Below are 10659 nucleotides of genomic sequence, written 5' to 3'. Positions count from 1 at the left end.
TTTACAAGTTAGTAAGAGAAGTGTTATAGTTTCTCACTGTTATTACAGATATGTCTATTTCTACTTTTTTCTGTCTATTTTTGACTTGTGTATTTTGACACTATGTTGCTAGGTGGTACAAACTTAAAATTATTATCTGCATCTAGTTATTCAAAGCCTTTTATAGTTTTGAAATGTCACTGCTTATCTCTCAAAATGCTCCTTTATCTGATATTAGTATAAATATAGCAGCTTTTGGGGGGTTAGGATTTGCATTATTCCTGTGTCCATCCTTTTACTGTCAAATTTTCTGTGTACCTATCTTTAAGATGTATCTCATGTAAGCAACACATAGTTGGGTTTTGTTTTTTCATCCAATTTAACAATCATTGTTTTTCAATTGGAGTATGTGGTCTATTGACATTAAATGTAATTACTGATATTTGTAGTTTCATAGCTATAACGTTACTACTTGTTTTCTATTTGTTCCTTCTGCTTTGTATACGTTTTTCTTTTCTTTTTGCCTTCTTTTAAATTAATTAATTATTTTAAATCATTCCATTTTCTTTTTGTTGGTTTGTTAGTATTTTATTATTATTATTATTATTTATTTATTTATTTATTTATTTTTGAGATGGAGTCTCGCTTTGTTGCCCAGGCTGGAGTGAAATGGCGCGATCTTGGCTCACTGCACGCTCCACCTCCTGGGTTCACAACATTCTCCTGCCTCAGCCTCCCGAGTAGCTGGGACTACAGGTGCCCACCACCACGCCAGCTAATTTTTTGTATTTTTTTTTTTTTAAGTAGAGACAGGATTCCACCATGTTAGCCAGGATGGTCTCAATCTCCTGACCTCGTGATCCACCCAACTTGGCCTCCCAAAGTGCTGGGATTACAGGCATGATCCACCATGCCTGGCTGTATTTTATTATTTTTAATGATTACCCTAGAGATTAAAGTATGCATCGTTATTTTATTATGGTCCAACATATAAATAAATTCATGTTTTTACTCCTTCCCAAGTAATACTGACGTTACCAACATGTTGATTCCCTTTGCCCTTTCTACCTTTTGTGTATTTGCTGGGCATTCTAGTTCTATATATTTTTGGTACTACACAGGACATTAGTGCAATTAGTTTTCACAGTAAATATTCATTTTTATTTACCCTTATTATTTAACACTGGCCAATGACTGGCTGGCTTGCTTGTTCTTTCCTTCTTTGTTTATTTCTTTGCTTCTCTCTTTTCTTTGCTTATTTGTTTCTTTCTTTCTCTCTGACATTAAACTTTCTTATAGTTAGGTTGGTTTGCTACTAGAAAAGCTGGCAAATAAACCATTTATACAACTGATTGGAGTTTGAGAAAAATTTGGCTCATGTGGACTGAGACAAGGTGACCAAACAGAAAGTCTGAAAACTTCAGTTTGATAGTGAGCTTACTACTGGCTGGCTATAGAACATTGGACGAGTTTCTCAACTTGTCTATCTTTAAAGTGAGGGAATAGGATTTTATAGAAAGTTGATTCTTATTTTAGTTTTTTGTAATACTAAGACATTTTTTCTTTGCCAGGACTATTCTAAAAGACTGTTCTATTATGTCATACTGTTTCTTTTTTTAAAATTATTAATTTATTTAAATTATAAATTTATTTATATTAACCTGTAAATTTAATTTTATTGAATTGTTTTGAATCCAATTATAGACACAACTATAACAACAAGAGCTTTTTGTTACTGCCACTAAAATCTAAAAGTTAAACAAATTCCAATATTTCAATTTTTCTACAAATTGTCATATGAAAAGTATATTGTTAGTTAAATATAACATTTTCAAAGACTATTAAAAATTTTGCTGCTTTCTTGATTATCTGTGATTCTTATTTCTAATGCTGAACAAATACATATACACACACACATGGATATAAAGGCACATTTTCTGTGGTATGTTATTTTATGTTTCCAATTATCTCAAGGGATATAATGAAATTCTCAAGAATTTATTTTAATTCACTTTAATTTAAGAAATAAATATGCCCCATACCATTTTGGGTGCTGGGTGTAAAAATAACAGAAAATAATTGGTATTAAGTTAAACAATCTCTAAGAGGTTGGAAATAAAATTTAAAGGACAAATAAAACTTCTTATTTCTTGTAATATAATAGGAATTCAGCAAATGTTGAATAAATGAATGAATGCCAACTATGAATAAAAGGGAATTAAACTTTGTACAATCATTTGAACAGGAATATAATTGAGAGTGACTGACACTGCAACTTGGCAATATCTGGGGAAATCAGAATTATTTTATTTATTTCTTTAAACTGAAAAGAAGCATTAACAGAATGGGCCAGCATTTTTGTCATCACAAGCCAGTGGTATAATCGTAATTAGTAGCTGCCAGCAATATTGCATTGCAACCAATGCAGCCATGTAGAAATCAATACTTATCTAGAGAAACCCAAGGAAAGGCATGCCCTTGCCTGCTTTAAATACTGTTTCCTCTTATTTCCTTACTTTATCTTATCTTGAAAATTTTGTGCTCAAATCTATTCATAATGTTTGACTTGTTAAAGTTAGACATTATTACTTACAAAGTCAAAAGCAATCTATATTGTCTACAGTCCATAGTCCAAAACTAACTCACCCAGAGATTTGTTTAACTCAAGCAGGAGGAAAATTTTCTATTTTCCAACAAGTTCTCCAAAATAACATGCTTATTTTTTTCTTGAAAATATATTTCAAATGCTCATTCCTCTTCCTAGTTCTAAAGGCTGCTCTCTCATAACCTATTAAAAAGTTTTACCTCTCCTAGAATTTACAGTAGAAGGGTAAGGAAAAAGCAGCACTGATTTCAGCAATCAAGAGGGGACAGAGGGAACAAGCCTCGTCCTCACAGAGCAAGTCTGGAGTCCTTCTGGATGGATCCTCAGCACGTTCACAGCCTTCTAAATAGTGCTTCATATTTACTTAATCCTTGAAAAACAGAAACAATATATGTTCATGGTATAACATTTCAACAAATATATAGGGTGTACAAACAAGAAAAATTAAAGGTACCCATCATTTTGCTGCACAGTTATTTTATTCTGTAGAGCATTTTTTTCATGCTGAATCGAGGCAACATTTTATGTACAGCTTGTACTCTGCTTTTTTGTATTTTATTTTATAGATGTTCTAAAATTAGTAGTTTCCCTATTGATAAAAATTTAGGCTATTTCTAGTTTTTTAATATCTTAAATAATTTTAAATGTATATCCTTGTTTACGAATCTTTATGTTCATAACTGCTTCCTTATAATGAACTACTGGCCATGGAATTACGTGTACCTTTGGCATAGCATTTTATAGCTCTAAATAAAGTTTACAAATCACCAAGATCACAATTTTTTGCACTACATGTAAGTGATGTACAAGAATAGCAATTTTTCAATAACTTTAGCAAAATTGAACATTATAGTTTTCTTTGTTCCTTGCTAATTTTTACAAGGATAAATGTATCTGTCGGTTTCATATTTATTTTTCACAACTTCTTATTTGAAACAGGCAAGTTCAGCTGTATTGTGGAAAAAAGGATTTAAGCAAAGATTGAACCTGGTGAAATGCGGATAGCTGGTCCACTTGAGGACATTCCATTTCTTCGCTTCTCCAATGGAGCAGGTTTCTGCACGCAGCTCACATGCTTATATGTATGGTGGCATTGCCTACTCTCTACCCAGTTGTCCCATCAACTCCCTACACTCTACACCACTGAAATCTGTGCAAACAAGATCAAGCTACTGATCATCTTCTGAACAATGAATTCTTTTCTGACAGGGAAGGATTGTTCTGCAACTCATGCGGAGCACCAAGGGTGCTGGAGACTCAGGTCCATAGAACCCAGCTTTACCATACGGATGTGCATCATAACACTGTATCATGATAATGCAAGACTAAACACCTGACTTGATGCCCAGGGCAATGATGCTGTGTTTATCAAACAATAAAACTATTATCTTAAAAATCTGTTTAACTTGAAACCATCCTAGATGATTCAATACCTCAAGGCTTTCAAGAGAACAAACATTGTGAACAACGGCTTGACTTTCTTACGAAGAGAATTAATTAAATTGTAAACCAATTTTTACGCACCCTGATGATTTTTTATGTTGTTTCCTGAGCCGAGTATCCTTGAGAAATTCAACAGTGATAAGTAAAATTGCATTGTAACTGCTCAGGATTTGTTCAACATTCAGTGTTTATTGACCAGAAGCAGTTAAAGTGTTTGGGTAAGGAATATAGACTCAGAGCAGACTGCCCCAGCTCCAACCCAGCTTCTCCACTTAATAGCTATGAAGTTGAGCAATTTAGTGAACCTCTCAGTGCTTCAGTTTTCTCTATAAAATGGGGATAATTTGAATCTATCTGCAGATGCCACGTGGGTTAAATAAGAGCATATGGGCTTATAACAATGCCTGAAACATAGCAAGTGCTCTATAGATGGTATCCATTAATGTAAGGCCTCCATAGAACAGACATTTGACTCAATATAGCAATATATTAAATATATTCATATAAATTAAACATGGTGACTAACTTCAACTAATTTCCATCACAGTGGGGACAACAAAACATGTATTTAAAACCCACACATTATTTAAGGACCAGATTAAATGCATCAAAATCTTCATTAATTCCATGTTGTTCAATGTAATCTTTCCCACAGCAACTTAAATGTACTTCTCTTTAACATGTTCTACCAAGTTTTATAATTAATTATGTACATGTCTATTCTTTCCTACCAGATTCTGATATGCTTGAGACAGATTCACTTCATCCTCTTTCTGCATGCCTGGTTGAATGACTGGCACATAGTAAATGCTCAATAAATGTTTGATAAATGAATGAATAACAATATATAAGGCATTATATGGTGACGAAAGCATCACACAAAAGCATCACAACTGAAGCACAATTAAGTACCATAAACATTAGCCTTCATCTACTGCCATGACAGCTGAAGAGATCCAGAGAGATCCACTCCTGATGTGCATTCGTAGGGCGAGTTTTACAAAAAACATGGCACAGGAGGAGGTTCTTAAATGTTTAAACACAGCACTCAGTCTTATAGAGGCTCTGCTTCTTTAATCGGCCCTTTCTAATCTTCTCTCCTCATTGTGAAATTCGGGAAATATGTTTCTTTACATGCCTCCTCAAATTTACAGAACTGGCCCAAGCATTGATTTTCTAGACATAATTCACTCCCATTGCAGATGTCCTAGGAAATGGAGAGCTCTATGACAGAAGTACACATCATGTGTCCAAAGTAACTTCATAATGGTTTCTGGGTTGTTAAAACAGGAAGAAACCATTGCCTTTTAGAGGAAAGCTACAGTAAATGTCACCATATGAATAAACATTGCAGTGACATGCTTAAGCCTGGTTTTACTTGTTATGATTATGTTGTCTGACTCTTACCACCAGAAGTGTTTCCCTCATATTTTCCTTCACATTAACATTTACGATGGAGGGGCAGCATTCCCCTTTGCTCACATTGGCCAAAATTAGTCCCTTTACACCCAGCAATATTTCAACAGTCACAGACCAGTGAGAGACCAGCATAAACCCAGCTTGCTATGGGCCTCAGCATGTTCCACCAGCTTTACTCCAGCCAACAAAACTGCCATTTGGAATCCATCTGCTGCATTTCACGGACCTAAATTCTGACCTAGTAGGTAGTCACTGAACTCGAACTGAGCAGAAAGGGCCAGAGGTTCTAAAGGGAAACATTCTTCAGCGCCACTACATGTGCCCTAAGACATGAAACACCTAAGACAGCACCTTGAGGCATATTTTTCAGTGCAGAAGTAGCAGAAAACAGAACATGACTCCCCACCCCTTCTTTATATTCCAATGAGATTTGCTAGTTTAACCAGAGCTGCAGTACAAAAGCACTTGTGGTTCATGTTATATTAATAGTGTGGCCTGATTATCAAAAACCATTACTCTTGGTTATCTTGCAGCGGCTGTACAGAGCTGCTATAAGTCAGAGTGACTGCCCACACAGTGTTTGCTCCATGCTTATGATAACAGTATTCTTAATGCAAAAGTGCATTTGTAAAATTATTGCCTTTTAAAGATCAGATCTGTTATAAATGAGATATGATCACACAATTGCTTTTCTCTGTATAAAAAAATTAAATACATAAATTAAATGTCAGTGTCCTCCATTGTCGTGGCTTCCTACGGGTCAGTTTACTTGTGGTCAAACTCTGAGGTATGGCTTTCAAAGCAGATGCGTTGTTAGCTGAATCCTGGCCAGAGGCACAAGCAGTTGCTTTTCTTCTCCTTTCTTTGATGTTGTCTTCTGTAGTTCTGATTGCGGCCTTGTGGATCCAACCCTTTTTTATGCTTGTCGAGGGGGGCTTTGTTTGGTTTAGTTTTGTTTTTTAAACCAGTAATGATAATGGATCGGAAACCATGCCATTTCCCTATAGATTCAAATCATTGTTTCCGGTTCTTTGCAGAACTCCATGTGGCTCAGAGTGGCTGCATTCAGAGCGCCTTAATGCTAATGCCACCGTGGTTGACTTTTTAATGTAGCCCTCCCTCGCTGGGACACTTTTTCACAAGCTTGGGTTTTGTGTGGAGAAGAGACAAAGACAGGAAGGAAAGCAACACTAATAAAGTAAAAGAACTCAGCTTTAATACTCACTAATCTCCTCCTCTAGGTTATATGTCTCATTATACATGTTACACCGACCGGGAGTCTGAGAGCTATGGCTTTACTTGTGCAACGCAAGGGACTCTACTGCCGTGCATCTTCCAACACTCTCAAGTTCCTTTACAAACAAAAATATAAGGGGAAAATATACAGGACTCTCCCTTCTGCTTTTCCTGTTTGAACAGCATCGTAGAATCCGTGATTGTTATAGACAGTTAAGCTTTTCAGACCTAATTCATTAAAAAAAATATTCATGACAAGTTGTTTGAAATGTGGTCCCTTAAGCTTTTTCTGTCTTTTAGAAACTGTTTCATATCGCTATCTAAGAAGAAAAGCCAGCCAAGATTTACATTTTAATTTAGTTAACCAAATAGTTCAGACTGTGTTCTCCAAAGACAAAGACTGGTCTGTAAGTGGGCCGGATTTTCCTGTATTTTATTGCTGTAATTTGCATGAGAAACACCAGATCCTGTATAATTGTTGCTTTGTTGTTGTGATACGAGTAGCTGTTTCCAATGTCAATAATTATAACTTGAAATGAAATTTAGTAGCAGTTAGGGGGTGGGGAGTGGAGGCGACTGCCAGCCAGTCAGAATTTCACATCAAACTAACCACAGTCTAGCCTTCTAAATGTGATGCGTGCAGCGACCAGGCTTCCAACAAAACTCCACACAAAGTAAACAGAATGAGCAAGTCACTTGAGCCTCCCCACACTATACATCTCGTGTTATGCCATTTTGTTTGGTGTCTAATGAAGAACTAGCATGTTTTATATATGATGGCTGCTAATTGCTTCATTAGCCATGCAAATCATAAAGGCAAACTGTGTCTTATCATAAAATCAGTAACTAGGCCATTCAAAAGCGAGGCTCAGGGAAGCATTATTATGTCCGTGCTTCTTTTGCGCCTGCATTCTTTTTTTTTTTTTTATGACTTTGTATTAAGTTGTAGCATTTTCCGTGTGGTCATTTGTTCCTTTAGATTAGTCTTCAGTTAAGATAAGCATGTAATGGATGAAGCAGCGAGGGACCGTGTCGAGATTGCTGCTGCGGCGGCGGCTCTTGGCCCAGCGATGTGAGCTGATCCACCCACCACTTTCCCCGAATGCTCTCAACTTATCTGAGAGGGAGGACGTTGTGAAGAGGGACTGCAAAATCTTGGGTCTGCCCTTATAGCTATGTGCCTGCCTCGGCTCTTTGTCAACATGGGGGAGATTCAGTTGCTAAGACCCACTGCTGCACGGTCTTTTAAAGGTAACACGAAACCAGCAGAGTGGAAAAAGAAAATGAAAGTGGAAGCAGGATAGAGAACGGAACACCTTCTAAGACCCCCTGGCTGCATGGGGTGTCCTGACGGACAGTTATCTCTTCATTACTGGAAATTTGGGCCCTCCTGAGCTCCTTATTCCAGATAATTAACACCTTAGTGTTGACTAAGGCTATGTCCCACATTTTCCTGATAATCAACTCATAGCTAATAAGACATTTTGTTGTCCTTATTGTTTTTCTCATCAGAGGAAGGAGAAAAATTCAATGAAGGAATCTTTTTAAAAACCCATACATTCATAACAAAATTAAAATCTTATAGTTTTCATTAAATCACCCAACCCAAGTACTGCAGGCATATCACTGGAAGACCAAGGAATCTTTTACAGTGAATATAATTCCAGGCTAACTAGCAGAGGTAGTGTCAAGGCAACAAAGAAATTCTGCCTGTGCACTAATTCCTCACCGCAGCTGTTGGGGTGTTAGATTAGGAGGCTGTACACCTTTCCCAGGAATATTAAAGCAGACTGTCTAACCGCCTGTGTTTGTCCTCGTAGCCTCATTCTTGCTGCTAGCAGAGCATGTCCCAACTGTTGTCAATTTATCAATGTAACGTGCACTGGTGGGCACAGTGTGAGCAGCCATTAGGACAGGTGCCTCTATCCATCACAGCCAGTCACTTATTCCACCTTGTCAAGGAAACTAAATGGAGCTTTTGGAGAAATGTAAACAACTCTCTAATGGACAATCAAAGCACCACTTTCTGAAGCAAACAAGAGGAAGAAATCTGACAAGACATTTTTAAGGGGGGAGGTGATACTATTTAAGTGTTTTTTAAAAGAATTTTTAATGGTCATGGTTTTAAAACACTGGGGTGAAGTGGGCTTGAGGGGAAGTAAATAGGAGAAGTAAAACAGCTAAAGCAAAGCCCTTCTTGTGGCCAAAGATTGAGAAATGAGTATTATGACTTGGTGAGATAACTGAGTGGAGGGACCATTGACTATTCTGGGGAAGATGCACAAAATTGCCAACAAAGTTAACTTAATTAAGAAAAAGAAGAAGAAGAAGGAAAAGAAATCCTAATAGAAATGGAAGGCTTGTAGTTAATCATTTTTTTATTGATATGTTTTTAAAGTTCCAAATGTACATGAGGAGGACAGAAAAACACTATTTAAATATTTGCTCCCCAAGACCACCCTTCATGGCACAAGCCTAACTTAACAGATGGCTTTTTCACTGTGTCCCAGAACACAGAAAAGTCAGCTTTGTCAAACCAGGAGGAGAAGCAAATTCTTCAGAAAATGGCCTGACTTTAACCCCCTGCTCGGGGCTATTCTTAGATGATGAGCATCGCACTGTTGGGATGCTGCTGAGGGGAGGAGAAAACCTCCAAAGTAGCAATTTCCAGCATGGGCATTCAGGACTGCACCTTGAATGTCACTGTGAAGTGACGAGGTAGCCAGGGCACACTGTGGAGCGCAGGTGTTCCTGGCATGGCAAGCCCGGTGCTTTTAAGCAGATGGACAGCGCCACACTGTGCCAGCTGAAGCTTCTGGGTGGTCTTCCAGGGACGCTTTGTGGTTATCCATTCTGGAGGCAACAAAGACTGGAGCTGCCAATAGCTGCATCATGGGGGAGGAGAGCTGGCCAATCTCAGAGCTGAACGCGAATAAAGAGAAAAGAGATGCTCTAGGAAGAGGTTGCCTTCTGGGAATCAGGTAGCAGCAAAGGGTCAAGAGGTCACTGCAACTTTGCCAGCTGTCATGTCTGGGAATAAATAAGGAGCATGAATTGAGACTGTTGAAATTGACCCTGACACTCTTTTATAAGAGAATACCTGCCTGAGTCAACTTGGACTCCCCTGTTGGGTGTCAGCTACTTTGTCCTCATCAGTGTCCCTAATTTAGGGTTACCCTGGGACATAGGGGTCAATATCTTATTCAGATAAGGTAAGAGCTTGATCTTATCAGCTTTCTAGAGCACTATGACCTCAGTTCTCTAATCAAGTCTTCCTAATAGTCAGGACCCATAGGTAACAAACACCCCATTGGGAAGAATTTGTATCTTTGTTTCCGGTCGGGTGAGCTATTCTTCAAACCCGTGCAGTCCATGACAACTTTCTGTGATAATGGAAATGTTCTCTGCAATGTTCAGTATGGTAGCCACTAGCCAAATCTGGCTTTTGAGTAAGCTGTAATGTGGCTAGCAGGACTGCAACACAAATATTTAAATTTTATTTAGTTTTAACTGATTCACATTTGAATTTAAACAGTCCCAAGTAGCTAGTGGCTACTAGTGAAAAACGTAGCTCTAGACCCATTTCCTGAAAAAAATGTAACACTGTATGAATCTGACCATATATAAATCTTACCAAATAAAGATCTTCTGGGAGTGTGCTGTCCAATATGGCTGTCTGCACTTGGTTATTTAAATTTAAATTAATTATAACTCAATGTAATTAAAGATTTAGTTTCTTGGTCTCACTAGCCACATTTCCAATGTTCAATGGCCACATGTGGCTAGTGGACACAGTATTAGAAAAGCACAGATACAGAATATTCTTATCACACCAAGTCCTATTGGATGCAGGTGCTCTCAAAGAAAAGACACCAATGCAAAGAGCAATCAAACCACTAGAAAAGTCACCTAATTCAACAAAATATGTACTGTGTATTGTTGAAATTAGAAGTGAGACACAAAAGTATTTATAGAGT

At 37.5% G+C, this 10659-nt stretch overlaps 3 annotated features.

Annotated features, from left to right (window-relative positions):
- Positions 3044-4243: an enhancer, noted in NCBI's record as "BRD4-independent group 4 enhancer chr1:88153692-88154891 (GRCh37/hg19 assembly coordinates)". NCBI's record gives its function as "activates an origin of replication core promoter dependent on BRD2, P300/CBP, MED14 and CDK7 cofactors, and independent of BRD4, by STARR-seq in HCT116 cells {active_cell/tissue: HCT116}" and the evidence as "EXISTENCE:reporter gene assay evidence [ECO:0000049][PMID:35650434]".
- Positions 6103-6718: an enhancer, noted in NCBI's record as "OCT4-NANOG hESC enhancer chr1:88151217-88151832 (GRCh37/hg19 assembly coordinates)". NCBI's record gives its function as "activates a minimal SCP1, AML or CMV promoter by ChIP-STARR-seq in primed H9 embryonic stem cells {active_cell/tissue: H9 hESC(primed)}" and the evidence as "EXISTENCE:reporter gene assay evidence [ECO:0000049][PMID:30033119]".
- Positions 7701-8202: an enhancer, noted in NCBI's record as "H3K4me1 hESC enhancer chr1:88149733-88150234 (GRCh37/hg19 assembly coordinates)". NCBI's record gives its function as "activates a minimal SCP1, AML or CMV promoter by ChIP-STARR-seq in naive H9 embryonic stem cells {active_cell/tissue: H9 hESC(naive)}" and the evidence as "EXISTENCE:reporter gene assay evidence [ECO:0000049][PMID:30033119]".

The sequence above is a fragment of the Homo sapiens genome, chromosome 1, assembly GCF_000001405.40.
Source record: "Homo sapiens chromosome 1, GRCh38.p14 Primary Assembly".
In the NCBI taxonomy this organism is placed as follows: Eukaryota; Metazoa; Chordata; class Mammalia; order Primates; family Hominidae; genus Homo; species Homo sapiens.
Note: the sequence above shows the minus strand (reverse complement) of the source record. Positions and strands in the feature narration are given on the sequence as shown.